A 26,796-nucleotide genomic window follows, 5' to 3' on the forward strand; every position below is an offset into this window, starting at 1 on the left:
TGGGCGTGATGGCGCGCGCCTGTAGTTTCAGTTTCTCGGGAGGCTGAGAGAGAGAGAGAGAGAGAGAAAAGATTCTTTTTTTTTTTCTTTTTTTTGAGACAGCGTCTCGCTCTGTTGCCCAGGCTGGAGTACAGTGCTGTGATCTTGGCTCACCACAACCTCTGCCTCCCGGGTTCAAGCGATTCTCCTGCCTCAGCCTCCCGCGTAGCTGGGACTACAGGCTTGCACCACCGTGCCCTGCTAATTTTTTGTAGTTTTAGTAGAGACGGAGTTTCACTATGCTGGCCAGGCTGGTCTCGAACTCCTGACGTTGTGATACGCCTGCCTTGGCCTCCCAAAGTACTGGGATTGCAGGCATGAGTCACTGCGCCTGGCCTAGATTAGATTCTTACTGTCTGAAGTAGTGGATAAGGACACTCAGGGTCATTTCTTGATTCTATCTGGCTGTCTTTCATTGCATCCCCTACCCCTTTTGCTCTGATTCTTTCTAACCCATGTTTAGCGGTCTCAAAAGCACTAGTAGCATCTCTTTTAAGTACTAACCATGTGGGGAGAGTATTTCAGTAGTAGTAGTTATAGCCACTATACACTATATCTTTTCTAGAGAACAGAAGTACCTCACCATTGAAATTAGAAGAGAAAATTATATATATATATATGTGTGTGTGTGTGTATATGTGTGTGTGTATATATATATATAGAGAGAGAGAGAGAGAGAAAGTCATTCAGTCAGTCTGGCATGCAAAGACAGAGAATCTGAGAGTGACACAAAAATAAACAATAGTTTTTCTGCTTTAAAAGTCCAGTGTTCATCCTTCCCCACCCCTGCAACTCTGGCAACCACTGATTTTTTTTTTTTTTTTTTTTTTTTTTTGAGATAAGAGTCTTGGTCTGACACCCAGGCTGGAGTGCAGTTGTGCCATTTCAGCTCACTGCAACCTCAGCCTCCTGAGCAGCTGGGATTACAGGTGCGCACCACCATGCCTGGCTAATTTGTATTTTTAATACAGACAGGGTTTTGCTGTGTTGGCCAGGCTGGTATGCAACTTCTGACCTCAAGTGATCTGTCTGCCTTGGCCTCCCAAAGTGCTGGGATTACAGGTGTGAGTTACTGCATGCTGTCACTGATTTTTTTTTTTAAACTTTATCCATAGTTTTGCCTTTTCAGAATGTCATGTAGTTGGAATCATACAATACGTAGACTATTCAGATTGGCTTCTTTTACTTAACAGTATGCACCTAAAGTTCCTCCTTGTCTTTCTGTGGCTTTATAACTCAGTTATTTTTTCACTCAAAATATTCCATTGTATGGGTGTACCACAGTTCGTTGAACCATTCACCCACTGAAGGATATTTTGGGTACTTCCAAGTCTTGACAGTTATGAATAAATATTTGTATGCAGGTTTTTGTGTTAATTTCAGCTCCTTTGGGTAAACACCAGGGATTGATGGATTATATATGGTAAGAGAATGTTTACCTTTTAAGAAACTGCCAAACTGTCTTCCGTAGTGTCTGCATAAGCAATAAATGAAAGTTTGTGTTGTTTCACATTTTTACCAGCATTTGGTGTTGTCAGTGTTTTGGATTTTTCAATTCTAATAGATATGTAGTGGTATCTTATTGTTGTTTTAATTTGCCGTTCTCTGATGAAATATGATGTTAAGGCCGGGTGTGGTGGCTCATGCCTGTAATCCCAGCACTTTGGGAGGCCAAGGTGGGCGGATCACTTGAGGTCAGGAGTTCAAGACCAGCCCGGCCAACATGGTGAAACCTGGTCACTACTAAAAATACAAAAAATAACTTGACGTGGTGGCACGTGCCTGCAGACCCCGCTACTTGGGAGGCTGAGGCAGGAGATTTGCTTCAACCTAGGGGGCAGAGGCTGCAGTGAGCCGAGATCATGCCACTGCACTCCATCCTGGGCAACAGAGTGAGACTCTGTCTCGAAAAAAAGAAAAGAAATATGATATTAAGCATTTTTTCACTTGCTTATTTGCCATTGGTATATCATCTTTGGTGAGATGTCTGTTCAAATGTTTTGCCTTCTTTTTAATTGGGCTGTTTGTTTTCTTTTTTCTTTTATTTTGGAGACAGGATCTCGCTCTGTCATCCACGCTGGAGTGTGGTGGCACAATCATGGCTTACTGTAGCCTCAAACTCCCAGTCTCAAGTGATCCTCCCGCCTCAGCCTCCTGAGTAGCCGGGACTGCAGGCACTCACCACCAAGCTCGGCTAATTTATTATTATTATTGTTATTATTATTATTATTATTATTATTATTATTATTATTGGGAGAAATGGGGTCTTGTTATGTTGCCCAGGGTAGTCTCCAACTCCTGCCTTCAAGCTATCCTCCTGCCTCGGCCTCCCAAAGTGCTAGGATTATAGACGTGAGCCACCATGCCTAGTGGATACCAATCTCCCAGTCTGACTTGTCTTTTCGTTTTCTTAGCAGTGTCTTTTGAAGAGCAGAAGTTGTTCTTCGGTTGTTTTGTTTTGTTTCAGGTCCTGCTCTGTCACCCAGGCCTGGAGTGCAGTGGTGTGACTTTGGTTCACTGCAGCCTCTTCCCCACAGGCTCAAGCCGTCTTCCCACCTCAGCCTCCTGAGTAGCTGGGACCAAAGGCGCATGCCACTGCACCTGGCTAATTTTTGTATGGTTTTAAAAATATTTTTTGGAGAGACAGGGTTTTGCCACGTTGCCCAGACTGGTTTCGAACTCCTGGGTTCAAGCAATCCGTATGCCTTGTTCTCCCAAAGTGCTGGGATTATAGGCATGAGCCACTGCACCCTGCCAAAGAGCAGAAGTTTTAAATTTTAACGCTATCCAACATATTAGTTTCTTCTTTTCACATATTGTGATTTTGGTGTCTTGTATAAAACGTCATTGCCAAACTCAAGATCACCTAGATTTTCTTCTGTGTTCTAGAAATTTAGTTTTGCAGTTTACACTCAAGTCTTTGATCCATTTTGAGTTAATTTTTGTGAAAGGTATAAGGTTTGTGTCTAAATTTCATTTTGTTCACTTGTTGGTGTCCCCTTGTTTAAGCAGCAGTTGCTGAAAAGACTATCCTTTCTCCATTGAAGTGCTTTAACTCCATTATCAAAGATCAGTTGACTGTTTTTTTAATGGATGCATTTCTGAGCTTTTGTATTGTGTTTTATTAGTCTAGTTATGTTTTTTTTTTCCCACTGATACCATACTGTATTAATTACTGTAGCTTTATGGTCAGTCTTAAAGTTGGATAGTGTCAGCCCTCTAACTTTGCTCTCATAAAATGTTTTCTTGCTACTCTGAATCTTTTACTATCTATATAAACGTTAGAATCAATTTGTTGATAATCCACACAATAACTTGCTGGGATTTTGATTGGGATTGCTTTAAATGCATACAGCAAGTTGGGAAAGAACTGACGTCTTGACAGTGTGGAGTCTGTCTATGTGCATGGCATTTCTCTTCATTCTTTTGATTTCTTTCATTAGAGTTTTATTGTTTTCCTCATATAGAGTACTTGGGATTATATGTGTGAGCCACCATGTTTGGCTAATTTCTGTATTTTTAGTAGAGATGGGGTCTCACCATGTTGGCCTGGCTGATCTCGAACTCTTGACCTCAGGTGATCTGCCCACCTCAGCTTCCCAAAGTGCTGGGATTACAGGCATGAGCCACCATGCCTGGCCTGAACATTGTCCTTTGATTCTTTCTTAGAGTTTCCATTTCTCTGCTTTTGCATTTTGCCCACCTTTTTTCCATTAGAGCTCTAGGAATATTAATTAGAGCTTTAAAAAAATTAGTAGTCTGATAATGCCAGTATTTCTGCTATATCTGAGTCTGACTCTGATGCTTGTTTCTTCAAACTGTGTTTTAGCGTGCTTTAAAATTTTTCATTGAAAGTCAGAGATAGTACGTGGTGTAGAAGGAACTGAGGTAAATAGGCCTTTAGTGTAAGGTTTTGTGTTTATCTGGCTAGGGGTTAGGCTATGTTCACTGTTTGCTGTACCTGTAAGTATCAGAGGCCAAAATTTCCTCTAGTGTTCATGTTTTTGTCTTCCCTGTTGTCTTTTGGTTTCTTTGGAATTTCTTCTTAAATAAGGTCTGAGGTGTGCAATTTGTTTAGTTGTATTCTCCACTTAGTATACAGGAGCCATATTTGTATAGTGGTAAGGCGTAGAGGGAGGGAAGTGTTCTATAGCCTAAAGATTTGTTCTCAGTCTTTTAGTGAACCTGTGTCCCTGGTCTGTAGTCTCTACAAGTACTTCTAAGTTTTGGTTTTTCCCTGCAGTGAGACAGGAGTGCTAGAGGATGCTGGTATTGGGTATTTCATTACCCTAAGTCTAAGGCTAGAATGCTCTGGAGTTGAATATTTCCCTTCTAGATTGGTAAGGCTCTGGTGGAACCCTGGTAGGTTAGTCTCTGATAATTAATTTCTCTTGAAGTCAGGCCTTGTTAAGGACAGAATGCTCTGGGCATATTTCATCATAACTACATATTTTTTTCTGATCTTCGCTATGATAATCTGGCAGGGCTTCTGGTTGTTAAAAACTGACAAAATGTGGAGGCCTCTCAGACAGGGTCCTGCTGTAGTTTTTAATTAAAACTTGTTCACACTGAACCTCCAGCTTGGTTTAGGCTTTCCTACCTTGGTAATGGTTCCCAAGGAGCTTTCTGCAGTTGTAAGTTGTGGTTCTCTGTATCCTGAACCTGCCTGCCTCTCTCTCTAATTTTGGGGGCAGTGGTTTGCCCTGTGACTCCAATTTCTGCAATGGCTTTACGAAGAGTTGTTGCTTTTCACCTTTGCTTTTCTTTTGTTTTGAGTATGGAATGGCAGTTTTTAACTCCTTAAATTCCAGACCAGAAACCGGTCATCTGCAGGGCTAATTTTTTTTCTATATTTTACTTTTCTTATTAAAGATTATAACATATCTCTAGCTGCATAATATACTACAATATGGATATACTAGATTTATTCAACCTTTGTTTATTGATGGACATTCAAGTTTTCTCAGCTTTTTTACATTATAAATAGTACTGCTAAAAATATTCCTGTACATGTATATTTGCATACTAGTGCTGTTATTTCTTTACATTTACTCTTAAAAGTGGGATAGCTAAGTCAAAGGATATTTGTGTTTTTAATAATACATATTGTCTGATTACTTTGCCCAAACATAGCAGTGTATGAGTTTCCTTTCTTTGGCTATTACTGGATGTTGTCAGTCTGGTAGAAGAGAATGGTATCTCATCATTGCTTTGATTAGTACTTTCTTGAAAACTGGTGAGGTATGGAGCATCTTACATATGTTTATTAACATTATAATTTCCTCTCTGGATTCTTTATTTGTGGACATTGACATTTACTTTCAGTTGGGTTATTTGCTGTTCCCCTTATTCATCTGTTAGGCACAATTGATAATATTTCTTAAAATTATACTTCTAGAAAAATTTAGAAAATTGCAGCATAAGAGAAAGTAAAAATCACTTATCTGTTCACACAGATAAACTCTTAGAGTTTTGATACTAATATTTTTCTAAGGATATGTATATATATCAGCTTTCCTACCATAATGAAATTTTATGTGGCATGTTATAGTTCCACAACTACATTACATATGATTTTATTAATTTTTAAATACAATATCGGAAAAATATGAAGCAATATAAAAATGTTTTTAAAAATGCAGGTCATGACCTACTCAATTGATTGCATGACCCACAGTTTGAAAAACATCGCCTTAAACCAGGGTTTCCCAGCCCCCAGGCCATGGACAGGTACTGGTCTGTGGCTGGTTAGGAACTGGGCCGCACAGTAGGAGGTGAGTGGAAGGTGAGCGAGTGAAGCTTCATCTGTATTTGCAGTGGCTCCCCATAGCTCCCATAACTGCCTGAGCTCTTCCTGCTGTCAGATCAGTGACAGCATTAGATTCTCATAGGAGCACAAACCCTATTGTGAACTGCACATGCAAGGGATCTAGGTTGTGTACTCCTTATGAGAATCTAATGTCTGATGATCTGTCACTGTCTCCCATCATCCCCAGATGGGACCATCTAGTTGCAGGAAAACCAGCTCAGGGCCCCCACTGATTGTACATTATGGTGAGTTGTATAACTATTTCATTATATGTTACAGTGTAATAACAATAGAAATAAAGTGTACAAGAAATGTAATGTACTTGAATCATCCCAAAACCATCCCTCCACCCACCCGTCCCCCCATCCCCCCATCCCCAGTCCATGGAAAAATTGTCTTCCATGAAACTGGTCCCTGATGCCAAGAAGGTTGGGAATCGCTGCTTTAAACTACATAAATATATAACCTTGGCTTCCACCCGTAATCCAGCACTTTGGGAGGCTAAGGCAGGAGGATAGCTTGAGCCCCCAGGAGTTTGAGACCAGCCTGGGTGATATAGTAAGACCTCGTCTCTATAAAAAATTACAGAAATTAGCAAAGTGTGGTGGCACACACCTTTAGTCCCAGCTGCTGGGGTGGCTGAGGCAGGAGGAGGAGCACTTGAGCCTAGGAAGTGGTGGCAAGATTGTACCACTGCACTCCAGCCTGGGCAACAGAGTGAGACCCTGTCTCAAAATAAATAAATAAATTACACACACACACACACACACACACATATAAAACCTTGATAAAAAGTGAAAACCAGTTTTAAAATATAGGAACATGAAATTTATCTCTTAATTCAATTTAATAATTTCAAAGCCTTCTAAAATTTTATTTACATTTTTAAGAGACTCATTATTACTAAAATATTCAAACATCTAAAAGTAGATGAGGTCAGGAGTTTGAGACCAGCCTGGCCAACATGGCGAAACCCTGTCTCTACCAAAAGTACAACAATTAGCCAGGTGTGGTGGCAGGTACCTGTAATCCCAGCTACTCTGGAGGCTGAGGCAGGAGAATTGCCTGAACCTGGGAGGTGGAGGCTGCAGTGAGTTGAGATCGTGCACTGTACTCCAGTCTGGGTGACAGCGCGAGACTCCGTCTCAAAAAAAATTAAATTAAATTACATTAAAATATAAAAATAAAAGTAGAGGAAATAGTATAATGAACCCCAGTGTCCCCATCTTTCACTTTTATAGTTAACACATTTTGCTAAATTTACTTATCCCTGTCAACTTAAAAAAAAAAACAAAAAACTCCTGGATTATTTTTAAGTGAATCTCAGGCTCATTGTATTATAAAAGTTAGTCTTTGATTATGGAGAGACAATAGATAATGAAATTGTAGTTACATTTAAAAAGAAAAGAGACCTTATAGTTAACAAAATCAGCCATAATTTTATGTCATCTAATGATATACATTCACGTTTACCCAGTTGTCTCAAAAATGTTTTTTATAGCTGCTTTGTTTGAACCTGGATACAAACAAGATGGCATGTTATTCATATTAATTAATATTTTAAGTCTCATAATTTATAGTAGCTCTTCTTGCCTTTTAAACATTTTATTCCATTTATTTATTGGAGAGTAGACTGCATTTTCAATTTGGCCAAATGCTTCCTTTGGGTGTTAGTTAGCTTGTTCTTCTATCCCTCTTTTTTCCTCTAAATAGTAATTAAATCCAGAAGTTTATTTAGATACAAATTCAATTCTTTGGCAGTTGTACTTAAAAGATTATGGTAGAAGCTACTATATCTTGAAGTTTCTGTGGGCAGGAATTTGGGAGAATCTTGGCTTGGCAGTTTTGGTTTGGGGTCTCTCATAAGATTGCAGTGAGATGTTAGCTAGGGTTGTCGTTAGAAGGCTTGACTGGGGTTAGAGAATCCACTTCCAAGATGGCTCCCCTCACATGGCTAGCAAGTTGTTCTCTTGATGGGAGGTCTCACTTATTCTTTACATGGGCCTTCCACAAAGTTGCTTAAATATCCTGACAGCCTTGGTGGCTGGCTTCTCCCAGGTTGAATGATCTAAAAAAGTAAGGTAGACGCTGCATTGTCTTTATGACCTAGACTTGGAAGTCACATCATTCACTCTCCAATATTCTGTTGGTCACACAGACCGTCCTTGAATCACTGTGGCGTGGCATGGATGCCAGATAGTGAGGATCATTTAGGACCATTTTGGAGGCTTGCTACTGTAGATGATTTCAGTTTCAATTTCAGAGTACAGGATTTATACATCTTTGACCTTATCTTTCTTGTAAACTAAAAGCCCTGGTTCCTAAAATATTAACATAGCTTGCTTTGTTCTACCATATACATGTAATAATTTCAAAGTAACAATGCTGATATTAATTACTAAAAAGACTACTGAATGCAGTTTAAGATTTCTTAGTGATTCTTTTTGTCCTTAAAATATACCCCCCAGCTGTATATAGTCAGTATACTCTATTGTAGACAGTTTATGCAACCAATTTGATAAACATAAATCCACCTAAATGTGGATATGTTTCCAGTTTTTTAGGGATTGCTTTTTTTCCCTTTTTGATTTAATAATGTATTTTAATTATATAAAACATTTACTTGGTTTCAAACTCTAAACTATAAAACAGGTACATTCAGAATAGTGTCACTTCCATTCTTCTTTTTCTTGTTCTCTCCCTTACCCATGGGTAACTATTTTAAATGTTTGTTTCATCCTCCAATGTTTCTTTTGTACATATTCACATTCCTTTTTTTATATATAAAAAAAGGTAGCAATGTTGTAAGTGCTCTGCTGTACCTTTTTCTTTTCATTTAACCATATATGCTGAAGTTTACTCCATGTTAGTAGACAAAAATCATTTTGTTAGTAGACAAAAATCACGCATTGCTTAGAGGCACTGCACTGTGTGGGTATGCTATAGTTTATTCAGCTAGTTTCCTAATGATAGATATTTTCATTGTGTAAATAATGCTGCATTGAATAGCCCTATGCATACATCATTTTGTATTTTGGCCAGTGAATTTTTGGTACAAGTTCCTAGAATTGGGATTGTTAAGTCAAAGGGAAATACTGAATGTGATTTAGCTAGATATTGCCAAATTTCTCTTCAGAGGGCTTTTTTTTGTGTTATTTCTACTACCAATGTATGAAAGTGTTTCTTACAGCTTTGTCAGTAGACTCTGGAGTTCTACTTTTAGATTTTTGTCAATTTAGTATCTTGGTCAAGTTTTAGTTTGGGAAATTAATTAATTTATATTTATTTTGAGACGGAGTTTCGCTCTTGTTGCCCAGGCTGGAGTGCAATGGCATGATCTTGGCTTACCGCAGCCTCTGCCTCCTGGGTTCAAGCGATTCTCTTGTCTCAGCCTCCCAAGTAGTTGGGATTACAGTCATGCACCACCATGCCTGGCTAATTTTATATTTTTAGCAGAAACGGGGTTTCTTCGTGTTAGTTAGTCTGGTCTCGATCGCCCGACCTCAGGTGATCTGCCCACCTCAGCGTCCCAAAGTGCTGGGATTATAGGCGTGAGCCACTGTGCCTGGCCACAAATTTTTATTGTGAGCAAGATTAAGCTACTTTGCATTCACTTAGGGGCGCTTCGCTCTTTTTTCGGATGAGCTAATTGTCTCTCTTTCTCACTTTTTTGTAAGGTCGTTGATCTTTTCTCCCCCTAATTTAGAGTTTTTAACTTTGCATTCACTTAGGGGCACTTTGCTCTTTTTTCGGATGAGCTAATTGTCTCTTTTTCTCACTTTCTGTAAGGTCGTTGATCTTTTTTCCCCCTAATTTAGAGAGTTTTTATTTTATTTATATATACAGATAGAGAGAGAGAGAGTGTCTTGCTTTGTTGCCCAGGCTGGAGTGCAGGAGTGCAGTGGCACGATTGTGACTCACTGCAACCTCCGCCTCCTGGCTTAAGTGATTCTCCTGCTTCAGCCTCCCAAGTAGCCAGGATTACAGGTGCCCACGACCATGCCCGGCTAATTTTTTTTTTTTTTTTTTTTTTTGCGACAGAGTGTCGCCCAGGCGGGAATGCAGTGGCAGGATCTCAGCTCACTGCAACCTCCACTTCCTGCATTCAAGTGATTCTCATGCCTCAGCCTCCTGAATAGCTGGGATTATAGGCATGAACCACCATGCCCGGCTAATTTTTGTATTTTTAGTAGAGAGAGAGTTTCACCATGTTGGCCAGGCTGGTCTCGAACTCCTGACCTCAAGTGATCCACCTGCCTCAGCCTCCCAAAGTACTGGGATTACAGGCGTGAGCCACCGTGCCTGGACTGTAGTTGATACTAATAATCACTCTGCAGTGTAAGTTGCAGCTAATTTTTTTCCAGGTTGCTATATTCTTTTAATTTTGCTTGTGGTATTTTTAGCCATGCAGAGGATTTTTATTTTTACATAGTCGTATTTGTCATATTTATTATTTCTTGGTATAAATTATTTCTTGATTCCTAGTTGGAACTTTTTTTCTACTCTTAGGTTATTAAGGAATTCTGTGTTTTTTTAAAAGTACTTTTATAGTTCTTTAAAAAAATTTAGATAACTGATTCATTTGCTTTTTTTTTTTTTTTGAGATTGAGTTTTGCTCATGTTGTTCATCCAGGATGGATTGCAATGGCACAATCTCAGCTCACTGCAACCTCTGTCTCCCAGATTCAAGCGATTCTCCTGCCTCTGCCTCCCCAGTAGCTGGGATTACAGGCACCCACCACCACACCTGGCTAATTTTTTGTAATTTTGTAGATTCATTTGCTTTTTATGCTGGTGTATAGTGTGAGAGACAGACAAGTTTTATCTTTTTCTGGCTATTCAGTTATCCCAATACCACCAATTAAAAAGTCCATCTTTTCCACACTGAATTGATATGCCATCTTTATCATATAGTAAAGGTCCATATGTATGTGGATATATTTCTGAATTTTCTGTTTTATTTCATGTTTATTTACCAGTATCACACTTTTTAACGATGGAAATGTATACTGGTTTAATATCTGATAGTGTGTACACATACCCCCTTTCTCTTTCAGGTGTTACTTTGCTATTCTTAATTATTTTTCTACGTGGATATACATTACAGAAAAACAACCAATAAGTATTGTGAAAAATTGGGCTGTGTCTAATTTATAAACTAACATAGGGATAATTAACATCTTTATCATGTTTAGCCCTGCTATCCATTTGCTCATGTGTACTTTTCTGTCTTGTAAGAGTGTTTATAGTTTAAAGGATTTCTCACATTTCTTATGTGAGCTTTTTAAATTTAATTAATTGATTAGCTATTACTAATGGGGTCTTCCATTTTATATTTTAACTGGTGGTTGATGTTAGTGACTATTATATGTAATATTCTACTTTTTTAACCTGTTTAACTGTAATAATTTTTTTGTTGTCATTGAGTGTTTATGGCTCTCCGGAGGCCAAAAACTTGTTATCTGCATTTAAAGATAGTTTTAGCTTTCCTATGTCAATTCTTAAATCTCGAATTAAGTGCTGTTTAATGGAAATAGAATGTGAGCCATTGCATTTTAATTTAAAATCATCTGGTAACTTCATTTTAAAAAAAGAAAGGTTGAAATTAATAACGTATTTAACCCAGGCACAGTGGCTCGTGCCTGTAATCCCAGCTCTTTGAGGGGCTGAGGTGGGTGGATCACCTGAGGTTAGGAGTTCAAGACCAGCCTGGCCAACATTGTGAAACCCCATCTCTACTAAAAATACAAAAATTAGCCAGGAGTGGTGGTGCACACCAGTAATCCCAGCTGCTTGGGAGGCTGAGGCATGAGAATCACTTGAACCCAGGAGGCGGAGGTTGCAGTGAGCCAAGATCGTGCCACTGCACTCCAGCCTGGGCAACAGAGTGAGACTCTGTCTCAAAAAAACCAACTAAACAAATAATACATTTAACCCAATGTATCTAATAGATTATTTCAGTATGTAATCAAGACCACAAATTATTGAGATATTTTATATTCTTTTATTTTGTACTGTCTTCAAAATTCAGTATGTGTTTTGCACTCATAGCATTTTTATTTTTAATTTTTTTCTATATACTTTTAATAATTCTCAAAGTCATACCAGAACTCGTAGCATTTTTTAACTAGCCACATTTCAAGAGCTCATTAGCCACATGTGGCTAGTGGCTAGTAGCTACTGTATTGGACCATGCAACTCTTAATGCTGTCTTTTATCTTTCTGTGTTACATAATGCCACCAATATAATGTTAAATAACAGCAGAGATAGCGGTATGTGTATATTTGATAACTGACTTCCTTTTACTCAGCATGCTCAGTACATTTCCACATCAATAATTACATCTCTACAACATTTTTCAAAGTTACATGGAGTGGCATAAGATATACCAGAAGAACTTTTTTGACATATTGTTTTGTTTTTAAGTGTTTTATTATTACATTGCTTTAGTGATCATGCTTACAGCTAAATCTTTGCAGTCTTGCCACGTGAAAGAGTATGCAATTTAAAAGTGTTATACAGTTGCTTTGATTTGTATATTTTGTTTAGTAATGAGATTAAATATTTTTCGTGTGTTTTTTGGACATAGGCATTCTTTTGCATATTGACAGTTCATTTGATTTCTTATTTTCTGTTGTGGGATTGGTATTTTTTTGTATTGATTCTTTTTTTGTTGTTGTAGTTGTTTGAGATCTTGGTCTGTCTCCCAGGCTGGCGCGATCTCGGCTCACTGCAACCTCCGCCTCTCGGGTTCAAGTGATTCTCCTCGTCAGCCTCCCGAGTAGCTGGGATTACAGGCTTGTACCACCAAGCCCAGCTAATTTTTTTGTATTTTTAGTAGAGACGGGGTTTCACCATGTTGGCCAGGCTGGTCTCGAACTCCTGAGCTGAAGTGATCCGCCCACCTCGGCCTCCCAAAGTGCTGGGATAACAGTCGTGAGCCACCACACCCAGCCGTTTTTGTATTGATTTGTAAGATCTCATTTTATATTAAGGATATTAATCTAGTATATGTTATAGATACTTCTCCAGTTTGTCCTTTTCTTTTCTTTCTTTTTTTTTTTTTTTTTTTTTTGACAGGGTTCACTCTATCACCCGGGCTGGAGTGCAGTGGCGCAATCACAGCTAACTGCAACCTTGACCTCCCAGGCTTAGGTGATCCTCCCACCTCAGCCTCCCAAGTAGCTGGGATTACAGGCATGTGCCCCACATCCAGCTGTTTTTTTTGTATTTTAGCAGAGACGGGGTTTTACCATGTTGTCCAGGCTAGTCTCAAAACTTACGGCCTCAAGCGATCCACCCACCTCGGCCTCCGAAAGTGTTGGGATTACAGGTGTGAGCCACCGTGCTCCAGCCCTCCTTTTTTTTTTTTTGAGACTGGGTCTGTCTCCTTCTGTCACCCAGGCTGGAATGCAGTGGCCCTGCAGCCACAGTCTCCAAACTCTGGGGCTCAAGTAGTCCTCCTGCCTCAGCCCCCCAAGTAGCTAGAATTACAGGTGTGCACTACCACACCTGGCTAATTTTTAAATTTCTGTAGAGACAGGATCTCTCCATGTCGCCCCAGGCTAGTCTCAAACCCCTGGCCTCAAGCAGTCCTCTCGCCCCGATCTCCCAAAGTGCTTGGATTACTGGCGTGAGCTACCATGCGCAGCCATCATTTGCCTTTTATCTCTCTTCCATATTGTTTCCTTAGGCAGTACTTCTACATTTTCATTTAATGAATTGAAATCTGTTGGCTTTTTATTGCATTTTTCTTTGATGTAACTGTCCACCTCCTTGTGGGATTATACATTTGTCAAAACACTATTTTATCTATTCTTTCTTCACTGACTTAAATTGGCTATTTTTATAATTATTAGATATATAACTGGGATTTGTTTTCTGGTGTGTATTATTTCCACTGTTCTGTCAGTCCCTATGGTATGACACAGGTCAGATTAATTTCTAGTAGGGCAAGTGTTTATTTTCAGAAATGTTTTGGCTAGTACTCTGGTTTGTTTTCTTCAAGGATAATTTTAGAATTATTTTGTCAAGTTAAGTCTCCTCGCTCCTGGTGACAAAAGAGAAAAACCATTGGTCCTTTTATTGAAATTGCTTTAAAATACAGAGTTTTATATGTGCGTGGTACCTCAAACCTGTAATCTGCCACTTTGGGAGCCAAGGTGGGAGGATCTCTTGAGTCGGGGAATTCAAGACTAACCTGGGTAACATAGAGAGACCCCATCTCTACCAGAAATAAAACAAACAGAAAAATTAGCCAGATGTGGTGGTGGGAGCCCATGACCCCAACTATACTTGGAAGGCTGAGGTAGGAAGATCACTTGAGCTCAGAGGTCAGGGATATAGTGAGTTGTGATGGTGCCACTGTACTCCAGTCTGGGTGACAGAGTGAGTGAGACCCTGTCTCAAAAAAAAAAAAGAAAAGAAAAATACAGAGTTTTACAATTTGGTGTTTATTAATGAATTTTGTATAATTTTTTTTTTTTTTTTGAGATGGAATCTTGCTCTGTTGCACAGGCTGGAGTGCAGTGGCACCACCTCGGCTCACTGCAACCTCCACCTCCCTGGTTCAAGTGATTCTTCTGCCTCAGCCTCTGGAGCAGCTGGGATTACAGGTGCACGCCACCATGCCTGGCTAGTTTTTGTATTTTTAGTAGAGATGGGGTTTCACTATGTTGGCCAGGCTGGTCTCTAACTCCTGACCTCAGGTGATCCGCCCACTTTGGCCTCTCAAAGTGCTGGGATTATAGGTGTGAGCCACCACGCCTGGCTCAGTTTTGTATAATTCTTGTTAAAGTTTAGTCCTGGTCATTAGTAGTAATTTTTTTCTATTGTGAAGTCATTTAAATTTTATTTTCTAGTGAATTGTTTCTTCATATATGAAGTCTTTTGCTTTTTTTTTTTTCTTCTTTGAGACAAAGTCTGGCTCTGTTGCCCAGGCTGGAGTACAGTGGCTCAATCTCAGCTTACTGCAACCTCTGCCTCCTGGGCTCAAGCCATCCTCCTACTTCAGTCCCCCGAGTAGCTGGGATTAAGATAACACACCACCACGCCAGGCTAATTTTTGTAGTTTTTGTAGAGACAGGGTTTCGACATGTTGCCCAGGCTGGTTTCATGTTCCTGACCTCAGATGATCCACCTGCCTCAGCCTCCCAAAGTGCTGGGATTATAGGCATGAGCCACAGCGCCCGGCTGTCTTTTGCTTTTTGAGTATTGATTTTTCTTTTTTTGAGACGGAGTCTCGCTCTGTCACCCAGGCTAGAGTGCAGTAGCGTGATCTCGGCTCACTGCAAGCTCTGCCTCCCGGGTTCATGCCATTCTCCTGCCTCAGCCTCCCGAGTAGCTGGAACTACAGGCATCCACCACCATGCCAGGCTAATTTTTTGTATATTTATTAGAGACGGGGTTTCACTGTGTCAACCAGGATGGTCTTGATCTCCTGACCTCATGATCCGCCCACCTTGGCCTCCCAAAGCCCTGGGATTACAGGCATGAGCCACTGGCAATTTTTGTTTTTAATCTCATACATAATATCTAGCCTTTCCTATTAAATATGACATTGGTTGTTGGTTTCAGGGAGGTACCATAATAAACTTTTAAGAAAGACTCCTTCTGTTGCAAGTTTACCGAGAGTTCTTTGCTCTGTTTTAAAAATTAGGAACTTATCTGAACCAAGTTCAGATGCTTTTTTTGTCTTCGTGTTAGTTTTTCTGCTTTTCACAAATGTAATGAATTATATTTCTCATTCAGTTTGTGTGTAAGTTTCTTTTAGGATTTCTAAATCTCTCGTAAGTACGTTTGTATAGTTTGTGTGTGTGTGCTATGTGCTATTTTAGGTTTTGGTAGCAGGACTAAGCTGTTTTTTATAAAATAAAGTTGTAATTTCAAATTATATTGTTTTTCCTCAAATTCTTGCTTTTAGGTACTCTGGAGCTGTATAAACAGAATTAAATTACATGTTTATTGAGGCATTTAGAAGTCGCCTAACATCTTTCTTGGCCTGTACTCTTTTTTTTTTTTTTTTTAATTAAAAGCAGTTCTTTTACCAACTTTTAATTTTTTGATAAACTATATTGACTTTATTCAGCTTCTAAGAGACAATTTGACGTCTAAAACATTAATCACACCTAGAAACTATACAATATGGAGAACAGCAGGGTGATTTTTTTTTTTTTTAAAATCATAACTGTTTTTTTGCGGGGAGAAGAAAATAGATTAGATGTTTTCCTTGGGATTTATTTATTAATATTATTAAGTCCAGAGAGAAAGATGAATGTTATTAAAGTAACAAAGTAACACTTCTTTTCAAGGATTAATTCTTCCTCTACCAGCCTTTTATTGTTAAAAATTGTGAATTTATGGAAAGGTTGTAGGAATAAGTTTCTAATGTATTAATTATTCTCATTCTTAGGTGCATTTTATCTGGTGTTTGAATATATGGACCATGATCTGATGGGACTACTGGAATCAGGCTTGGTTCATTTTAATGAAAATCACATAAAGTCATTTATGAGACAGCTCATGGAGGGTCTGGATTATTGTCATAAGAAGAACTTTTTGCATAGAGATATTAAATGTTCCAATATCCTTCTAAATAATAGGTATGGGTATGAACTTTATATATATTTAAAATGAGTTTTACCATGGACATGTACATGGAGAGAATAGACTGGAAACCGTAGCGGCGGGGAATGTCGGGGGTGGTGAGCGTTGAAAGTTACCTATTAGGTACAGTGTCCAACGTTTGGGTGATGGGTACCCCAGAAGCCTAACCCCTACTATTACACTTGTAATACCCATGTCACCAACAAACACATATACCCCCGAATCTAAAATTTTTAAAATAAAGATACGGTGTTACATGATGTTGCACCTTGATTATGTTAAAAAAGATTTAAAATTTAGTTTACTTTATACAAACTATGTAAAAATAATCAGGCCAGCCACAGTGGCTCACGCCTGTAATCCCAGCACCTTGAGAAGTAGAGACGGGCGGATCACTTGAGACCAGGAGTTCATGACCAGCCTGGCCAACGTTGATGAAACCCTGTCTCTACCAAAAAAATAGAAAAGTTAGCCTAGCGTGGTGGAGCATGCCTGTGATGCCAGCTACACAGGAGGCTGAGGCATGAGAATTGCTTGAATCTAGGAGGTGGAGGTTGCAGTGAGCTGAGATCATGCCACTGTACTCCAGCCTAGGTGACACAGCGAGACTCTGGCTCAAAAATAAAAATAAAAATAATCAACAATATTATAACTTGGGATACCTCAAAAGTTGTGTTACATAGCTGTTAGTGGCCGGGTGGGGCAGCTCAGCCTGTAATCCCAACACTTTGGGAGGATGAGGCAGATGGATCACTTGAGGCCAGGAGTTCAAGACCAGCCTGGCCAACATGGTGAAACCCTGTCTCTACTAAAAATACAAAAATAAACCCGGTGTGGTGGCACACACCCGTAATCCCAGCTGCTAGAAAGCCTGAGGAACGAGAATCGCTTGAATCCCAGAAGTGGAGTTGAGTGGAGTCAGTGAGCTGAGATAGTGCCACTGCACTCCAGCCTGGGTGACAAAGCAAGCAAGACTCGGTCTCAAAAAAAAAAAAAAAAAAAAAAATCTAATAATAGTCTGTAATGCATATAAAATAATACTTAGTTGACTTTTCTGTTTGCTATTATTCCAAGTAATGTGAATGGATCATCTGATAAGCAATGTAACTTCAGCTTTAGGTTAAGAATAGATTTTAGAAAATTTTAAAAAAGCAGTCACAGTTGTAAAGTGAACTTCTTGGAAGTGTGTACACACACATACACATTCACATATTTAAAACTTATGTAAATAAGCTTAGATTTGTAACATCTTATATTTGAACCCTGATAATTCTCTTGTAATTGGTACTGTTTGTTAATTTAAATAAGGCATGGCTGGTTCTCATTTTAATTAATAGACAGTGTTCTATGCACCTAGCCCCTCTAAAACTGGAGAATTAAACAAATTAAAAGTGATGTCACTTCGTTCTTGAGCACTGTTACCTTGAACAAGAAATTTGTCTTACTGCTAAGTAATAAAAAGGATCTCATTTTATTTTCATTGAAGTATGCTTTTCTAAATAGGAACTGAATAGTAATAAAATACTATTCTAATATTATAATACAGTAATTATAATAATCATATTACTATAATAATTTTAAGACTATCCAAGGATAGTTTACTTTCTTGTTTTGTGAATTTATCCACTACTTGCCTTTCCCTGTATTACCTTGATGATATTGCAGTGTGAGCAGAGTTAAAGTTTACATAGGTTTTTTTTTTTTAATCAGTTCTAGGCATAGAATATAAATGTGTATTGTCAATTAAGAGTAAATTAATACCTTTTGTTCATTTTGTCTTATTTCCACCAGAGGGCAGATAAAACTTGCAGACTTTGGACTTGCTCGATTGTATAGCTCAGAAGAAAGGTAAGCATACCTTCAAATGAATATTGTAGATACTAGAGTTTAGTATTAGAAGCTATACTAAGAATACCTTATTGATAGTTTTATTTTTTAAAAGAGAAGTTTACTTTTCATGGTTAGTACATAAAACATTGAAATTTTATACCATATTGGGTTGATTATTGTAATTACAATATTTTATACATTATCTCAATTTAAAAATTGATCTTCAACAGGTAAAAATGATTTTTTTAAATGAACATCTTTAAGTGTAACTGAAGTGAACTTAAATTTCTAATACGTATTCAGATATTAAATATTCTTAATGAAAACCTTTTAAATTGCATTTTTAAACTTATAAACTTTGGTTTCATTATTATTTTAGACAGATTTTATTGTTATATCTACAGTTCTTTGTTTTTTTAACTCCCTAGAACCCTTTATTTAAACCAACTGTTGGGAGGATGTTCACTGTATAAGACACAAAAATGTAGAACTTTTCTGGCTAAAGTTGGATTATATACCCAACTTGGCTTTCTTTGTGCCTGGTGGTAGTGAAATATGATTTGTCTTATTAAAACTAATATGGGATTTCAAAATAAAATATTTTTGTGCAATAGTAGGTTTTATGTAAATAAAATACGGAATTAATTTGGCTTAATAAATCTTTAGTCCATTTACCCCATTCCTTTTTTGTCTTTATTTCCATATGTGTATATATATATCTGAAATAATATAGTTAAAGAATTTTAAAATTATTTTATGACAATTTTGTCATTTCTTTAATATCACCATAATTTAATATAATGAAACATCAGTTGATTGCAGTCTTAGGAATAGATGTTTACTTTCATTTAATCTTTGCTTTTTTTGGTTAAAGCAATAAACAAAAACTCTCGTTTGAATTTTTCAGAGTAAAAAGTCTTATTTTGTTAAATCTTGCAGCGCCTGTGACATAATTCTGGAAAGTATTTTCCTTATATAGTGTTCTAGAGTAGAGGTTTATAAGTGATATGTTTTGGATCTATTCAAGTTCCATGAAACCCCTCAGAAAGTGTGCAGTGGGCCAGGCGCAGTGGCTCATGCTTGTACAAATCCCAGCACTTTGGGAGGCAGAGGCAGGCGGATCACTTGAGGGTCAGCACTTGGAGACCAGCCTGGCCAACATGGTGAAACCCCATCTCTACTAAAAATAGCTGGGCTTGGTGGTGCACGCCTATAATCCCAGCTACTTGGGAGGCTGAGGCACAAGAATCACTTAAACCTGGGAGGCGGAGGTTGCAGTGAGCCGAGATCACACCACTGTACTCCAGCAAGACTGTCTCCAAAAAAAAAAAAAAAAAAAAAAAAAAAGGAAGGGAGGAGAGAGGGAAGGAGGAAGGAAGGAAAGAGAGACAGAGAGAGAGAAAGGAAAGAAAGTGTTCTGTGGATGGGGTTTTGTGATTGGACCTCCAGTCCTCTGTACCAACTTTCACCAGAGTTACTTGGTTTTTATTTGTTTTAACTACTACACTTAAAATTAACATTTTATTTTAGGAAAGGGTTGTATGAGTGTTTTTTTTTTTTTGAAGTTTAAAACTGTTTTAAAGCTCAAAAGCTATGTCCCTCATTTTGCATTTGAGCGAATTGAGACCCAGAAAGGGCTGAGTTAGTTTCCTTTTTTAATTTTGAAATATGTATACATTGTGAAATGGCTACATTGAGCTAATTACTATGCATTACCCCACATTTTTTTTGTGTGTGCCAACACTTAAAAATCTACTCTCAACAATTTTCAAGAATACATTGTTATTAAGTGTAGCTGCCAAGTTGTACAATAAATCTCTTGAATTTACTTTTGTCTAACTGAACTTTTATATCCTTAGGCCAGCATCTTCCCCCCATACTCCCTATGCCCCGTATCTGGTAACTACCAGCTCTACTCTCTACCTCTATGAGTTGAGGTTTTTTAGATTTCACGTATAAGTGAAATGATGAGTTATTTGTCTTTATGTGCCTGCCTTATTCCACTTAACACAATGCGCTTCACGTTCATCCATGTTGTCATAAATGACAGGATTTCCTTGTTTTTTAAAGACTTGAATAGTATTTCATTGTGCGTATATGCCACATTTTCCTTTTTTTGTTTTGTTTTGTTTTTTTTTGAGACAGAGTCTCACTCTGTCGCCCAGGCTGGAGTGCAGTGGTGCAATCTCAGCTCACTACAGCCTCCACCTCCGGGGTCCAAGTGATTCTCCTGCCTCAGCCTACCGATAGCTGGGATTACAGGCCACATTTTCTTTATCCGTCCATCTCTTAGTGGACGCTTAACGTTGATTCCCTATCCTGGCTATTGTGAAGGGTTGAGTGACTTTAAAGATCAAAAAATGTTAGCAGAGCCAAGGGTGTATAGTTAAGTTTTCAATTCGCAATTTTTTATTCTTTCTGTCATATATAATAGTGCCTCTTGGTAGAAGTTGAAAGGAAAAATTGGTCTGAACTGTACTTAATCCAAAACTTAACTTGAAGTATATTTTTTTCTTCTGCTGTTTAAGAAGCATATGTATTTTATTTTATTTGAGACAGTCTCACTCTGTCGCCTAGGCTGGAGTGCAGTGGCGTGATCTCAGCTCACTGCAACCTCCGCCTCCCGGGTTCTAGCGATTCTCCAGCTTCAGCCTTCCGAGTAGCTGGGACTGCAGATGTGCACCACCATGCCCAGCTAATTTTTGTATTTTTTAGTAGAGACAGGATTTCGCCATGTTGGCCAGGCTGGTCTCGAACTCGTGACCACAAGTGATCTGCCTGCCTTGGCCTCCCAAAGTGCTGGGATTATAGGCATGAGCCACCATGCCCAGCTGAGAAGCATATATATGACTAAATTAATGTGGCTATTATTTTGGGCAAGTTCTGGTTAATTAAGAATTCTATCTGCTAAGCTGGTTGAGATTTCACTGTAGTTAGATTTTGCTTAATATAAGTTTGTGTCTGTTGTTAATTATGTAAATCCTTTCCTATGGAATGGAAAACAGCTAATTACCATTTTAATCTAATAGATTCTTGTTATGCAGATATTTGTGCACATTTGGAATAGATATGTTTCAGAAAAGCTGATTATAAAGCCAAATTTTATATTATGAGGCTTAATTTTCCCATTGATTTTCATTTTAAAATATAATTTGGGTTCCATTGGAGTGCCGGGGTGTGGTGTGTTCACTGGGCCATGGTCCCTGTTGCCCTGCTGGATTGATGTAGAAATTTTGAGTTTAGAGAACCAGAGTTTTAAAGTCCCATAACTTTGCATCTTCAGGTAATGTATACTGAATTTTTCTGCTCAGTTAAATGTATAAGAGGAAAATTCAGTCTGTCATTTTGTTTTAAGAGCAAATATCCTATCATTATGGGGTTTATATACTCCTTTAAAACTTCTCTTTTTTTTTTTTAAGAGAATAATTCTGATTTCTTCAGAATCTCCTGGAGAGGTAGTATTAATATAATGGAATACCTTTAAAATACATATGTTGCTCTAGTGAACCTTAATAACTGTGATTTTAAAAGAAATCTACCTTTAACAGATTTATTGTATTGTCTCAAATTTTCTAGATATTTTTTGAGATAAATATGTAACAAATGATTTTTCATTCATATTTCTGCTTCATTATAAACAGAGAGCCAGGTAGGGCCTTACTGTAATACTCATGCAAGTATAAAGTCACTTTGAAGTGTTTTTATTTTCTAAGTAGTTAATATAGATCGAATAACTGAATTGTTCAAGAATTTTGTGTAAGGTTTTTTGTTTGTAAATAGAGCAGTTTTCAGCTTACAACTGTAATAGCATCAACCACAGCTCTCATTAGATTTTGGATGTTCCTTTTTTGAATTTGAGGAAAGCTGGGTGGAGTTACAGCTAGTACTTGGGGGTCTGTGACCAATGTGGATCTGCTCTTCATGTGCCTATTGAAGAAAGAAAGAGAACCACTGGATTAAAATTAGAGGGGAAAATGATTTCTTAAATTTCAGTCATTTTCTCATTTTGAACATTGGGATTTATACTTTGTCCCATTCTGCATTGGGAATTTTAAAACTTGAGAATAGAGATTTTTGCCCCATTTCTTCATTAACTGTTCATCTTTTAGTATATGGTTTTTTAAGTATAGTTTTTCTGACAGCTACAATGTTTCCCTCTTCTTAGTTTTTATTTTACCAAGTCATTGCTCCAGTGGTTTTCAAAAGGATGGAGTATCTTTCTCTCTTTATGTGACCGTCCTGTATGAAAAAAAGTTTTCCATATTAATTGAAACTAGCCTCATTTTCTAGAGAAGAAACTATAATGTGACACTTTATTTGTTTATTTATATTTATGAGACGGAGTCTCACTCTGTCACTCAAGCTGCAGTGCACTGGTGTGATCTCGGCTCACTGCAACCTCCGCCTCCTAGGTTTAAGCGATTCTCCTGCCTCAGCCTCCTGAGTAGATGGGATTACAGGCACCTGCCACCACGCCCAGCTAATTTTTGTGTTTTTAGTAGAGACGGGGTTTCACCATGTTGGCCAGGCTGGCCTCGAACTCCTGACCTCAAGTGATCTACCCACCTCTGCCTCCCAAAGTGCTAGGATTACAGGTGTGAGCCACTGTGCCCAGCCCTGAAAAACGTATCTTTAATAATATTACTATGATCAAAATGAAAGTTTTTTAAACAATAACCAGAAAGCATACTACATTTCCATATGATGATCCAGTAAGGAGAGAGAAGGGAAAAATGAAAAGGGCCTTAGAGCATTAGCTCACTAATACCACCCTCCCAAAACGCACACACCTTTTTGAAGGCAGTATCGCCATCTAGTGGCTTTTCAGAACATTGTTATTGAAAGCAAAACTAAATTTTCCTAAAGTTGAAGGTATTAATGAGAGAGGAAGATAGTATTACCATATTTTATTCTTTTGTGTTTTATGTTCCCTAAAACATTGACTGCATTCATGATAAGTGCTTGGTTGATGCTGATCTGGGAGAAGGTGATCTTCATCTGGAGGATCCTCCTGATGCAGATGAGTGCAGGGAGCTTTGGGGATTCTAGGTAATGAAAAGGATCTTCTGAGAATCACTAGACAAGATTGGAACCATGGTAATAAAAAAATTACTAATAACAGATGAATGACAATAAATAATATGATTAAACAAGCTTCAGGAAAGGAGATCTCATTTAGATCATTGACTTTTAACTGTAAGATCAAGATTAAATTGTTCTCCCTTCAACTCTAATGGAGTAGTCTTCATTTTTGAGCATATAAAGTGGAAAGAATTCCCCCCTCCTTCTGTTGGGGGTATATCATCCGAGACATTACTGCTGAATACTTACAAAACTGAATTCCAATCCTTGATCTTTCTTCTGGTCTCCAGACCTTTTGTTTATTGGAAATCTCTACCCAGGTGATTTGGGTACCCTAAATTAAACCTTGTTACAAAACCTATCTATTTCATTCCCCAGAAAAATGTCTACTCCTTTTCCTTTATTTCCCGTTTTAGTTAAAGGTTTCCAGTCACCTCATATAGGCCATTGTAAATAGAATTGTATTGGTTTTTCTGTCCTCTGGTCTTTCTCCCTTATGGTCTTCTCTTCTGCCATTCCAGCCCCCCTGATAATAGCAATGTTGAACTATTTGTAGTTCCCTAAACTTGCTGTGCTCTTGAATGCCTTTGTGAATCTACATAAGCTGTTTCTTTTGTATGTAATTATACTTCTCACCTGAGTTTGACAAATTTTTTTTTTCTTTCAGTGTGCAATTCAGGCCCTACCGCCTTTGAAATCTGTCCTGAATCCCACAGGCATCATTGGGCACATCTTCTTTTATGTGTTTAGAGTATATTATTCATTCTATGTATTATTTATAGTACATGATTATAATTTATATTACCACCATTTTTCTTTTTTTTTTTTAAGAAAAAGAAGGGAAAAGGAAAGAACAAACTTAACTAACGTTTGTGTACATCACTTTATTATACATAGTTTCCTTTCACAAGAATTATTTTAAAAGAAAGTTGAGATGGATGATGTAGGTATCATTCTTATGTACATTTTAAAGTTACAGAAGTTTAGAAAATTTAAGTGCATTTGCAAGATCACACAACCAATAAGTAGTAGAGCTCAGGATCTTTTGACAGAAAGATTATTTTCATTATATGGGAGTGCTTCTCTGGTAAGACTCTGAATTCAGCCTTGATTACCTAGAAGTATCTTCCAGGTAGAGAACTCTAGGGGCCTCTCAAGTCTGCTTTAGAGGTACCATTAGGCTGATGGCAATTTTTAGAGTTCTTTTTTAGTAAAGGGTCTGCTGAATTTTGCTTTTTGTCTTTGCATCCTCCAAATATATTTTTGACAAATGAGTTATGCTGTAGGTTTAATCTTCCAGCAGATTAGGAAGTTATGTGATATTTCTACTTTTGAATCTCCCTTTGTCATATTGGATTTAATTATATTTTAAGCAGTTTGAAAGCTCTTGAAATATCTAATGAGAAATCTATAAACAAAAAATATTTTGATAGCAACAAATATTTAAAATTACCTGTAATTTTTCCCATGAAAGTTATATTAAAGTCTGATGACTTTTTTTTTTTTGAGATGGAGTTTCGCTCTTGTCTCCCAAGCTGGAGTGCAATGGCGCAGTCTCGGCTCAACCCAACCTCTGTCTCCTGAGTTCAAGCGATTCTCCTGCCTCAGTCTCCCAAGTAGCTGGGATTACAGGCACCTGCCACCACACCCAGCGAATTTTTGTAATTTTAGTAGAGATGGGATTTCACTGTGTTGTCCAGGCTGGTCTTGAACTCCTGACCTCAGGTGATCCACCCACCTTGGCCTTCCAAAGTGCTGGGATTACAGGGGTCAGCCACGGCACCTGGCCTGACTTTAAATTTTAATACTTGGTTAATCACTTAAGGTTTAAGGAAAAACAAAAGAATTGTTTGATTTTGTTTTCTAATGTGTTACTTTCCTGGCAGACAAAGAAATAGTGTCTGCCTTCTTTTAAAAAATATTAATGAGATTTACAAATGAAAGTATTTAGCAGAAGGACTGGCCTTGGTGTCTCTTGCCTGTAATCCTAGCACTTTGGAAGGCCAAGATGTGGAGATTACTTGAGCCTAGAAGTTCGAGTCCAGCCTGGGCAACATAGTGAGATCTCTATTTTAAAAAAAGTAGAAATTGAAATGCACAATAGTTAACGTTGAGACCATTATTTTTGGGTCTTTACAAAGTTTAGTTTCTTGCCATCCAATAACAACTTATTGAAGTTACTAAATTTTGTTTTCCAATTTAATGGCAGAAGGACTGTGTGTGTGTGTGTGTGTGTGTGTGTGTGTGTGTGTGTGTTTTCCTGGGTTATTGAGTTTATTGCTTGGAATTGATCTAATTATGTAAAGTGGAGTGGTTCATTTCATTTTTAGATTTTTCTTTTTTGTATGTACACATTTATTTGATAACATCTAAGAAGTCGACTATATGTTTTTCAGTCCTGTTTCTTTTTCATTGTGAGTTAATTTGCTTTTTGTGCAAATACTGGGTATAGACACACCACAAGAATGTAATTTGTTTTTTAATCCATGAAAGAAAAAAGCATCGTATATGTAGTGTCACATCAGTTTGCTTCTTCTTTGTGTGATCTAAACAAGATCATCTCTACGATGTTGACAGTTGGTAGCCAAATCTAATAGCGCAAGTTTGAAATTCATTTTTGAGGATTCTGGATTTTTTTTTTTTTTTTTTTTGAGACAGAGTCTTTCTTGCTCTGTCAACCAGGCTGGGGTGCAGTGGTGTCATCTAGGTTCACTGCAACCTCTGCCTCCTGGGTTCAAGCAATTCTCATGCCTCAGCCTTCTCAGCAGCTGGGATTACAGGCATGCACCGTGATACCTGGCTAATTTGTTTTGTATTTTTAGTAGAGGTGGGGTTTCACCATGTTGGCCAGGCTGGTTCCGAACTCCTGGGCTCAAGCAATCCTTAGGCCTCTGCCTCTCAAAGTGCTGGGATTACAGGCATGAGCCACCACGCCCGGATGGATTTTCTTTTATTTGTCTGTCTTTGGATAATGTATTTTCATATTACAACGTGCTTTAATTTTCCTGGGCTTTAAATTTCCTGGAACCAAAACATAGTTTCAGTCTCTTTTACTTTTGTCTTTACATTTGTAAACGGTTAACGGGATTTAATATTAGCATCCTAATCGTAACGTGGATTTTTGTTTGATAGTATACTATATTACTGAATTGGGTGATACCTGAAATTGTCCTTATTCTCTTCTGACTCCACCTACGTTGGAACTTGCTTTTATGATTAAATACTTCTGTCTGCACACTTTCTCAATATTTGCTTCTTTTTCATTAGAGAGGTAGAAAGTGAGGCATGGTACCTATTATGCAAAATTTTTGAGTAAATCAGGTGTTTTTCCTTGTCCTTAGTAACGGTCATTTTCATTTGTCTTTTGTCATTGTTACCTTTTAAAAGCTTTTTAAAAAATAGTTTATTAAAAATATTTAAAATACAATTA

At 37.9% G+C, this 26,796-nt stretch overlaps 1 protein-coding gene across 5 annotated transcripts in view, besides 2 other annotated features; it reads left to right on the forward strand.

Moving 5' to 3' along the window:
* The window catches only part of CDK13 (cyclin dependent kinase 13), a 149,325-nt gene that overhangs the window by 79,320 nt on the left and 43,209 nt on the right, over positions 1 to 26,796 (forward strand). For 2 of the 5 annotated variants that reach the window (XM_017012750.3, XM_017012751.3), the window contains exons 6-8: positions 16,261 to 16,450; positions 18,246 to 18,302; positions 23,244 to 23,333. In XM_017012750.3, the coding sequence (XP_016868239.1) occupies positions 16,261 to 16,450; positions 18,246 to 18,302; positions 23,244 to 23,333 (337 nt within the window). Of the gene's footprint in view, positions 1 to 16,260; positions 16,451 to 18,245; positions 18,303 to 23,243; positions 23,334 to 24,033; positions 24,924 to 26,796 lie in introns of those variants that run through there. The other 3 variants (NM_003718.5, NM_031267.3, XM_011515597.4) reach the window with 2 other exon arrangements.
* Positions 9 to 108: an enhancer, noted in NCBI's record as "active region_25889". NCBI's record gives its function as "activates an Ori minimal core promoter by ATAC-STARR-seq in GM12878 lymphoblastoid cells {active_cell/tissue: GM12878}" and the evidence as "EXISTENCE:reporter gene assay evidence [ECO:0000049][PMID:35858748]".
* Positions 26,129 to 26,368: a silencer, noted in NCBI's record as "fragment chr7:40095303-40095542 (GRCh37/hg19 assembly coordinates)". NCBI's record gives its function as "represses an EF-1alpha promoter that drives an FKBP-Casp9 reporter gene in an ReSE screen in HepG2 liver carcinoma cells {active_cell/tissue: HepG2}" and the evidence as "EXISTENCE:reporter gene assay evidence [ECO:0000049][PMID:32094911]".

The sequence above is a fragment of the Homo sapiens genome, chromosome 7, assembly GCF_000001405.40.
Source record: "Homo sapiens chromosome 7, GRCh38.p14 Primary Assembly".
NCBI classification, from domain to species: Eukaryota; Metazoa; Chordata; class Mammalia; order Primates; family Hominidae; genus Homo; species Homo sapiens.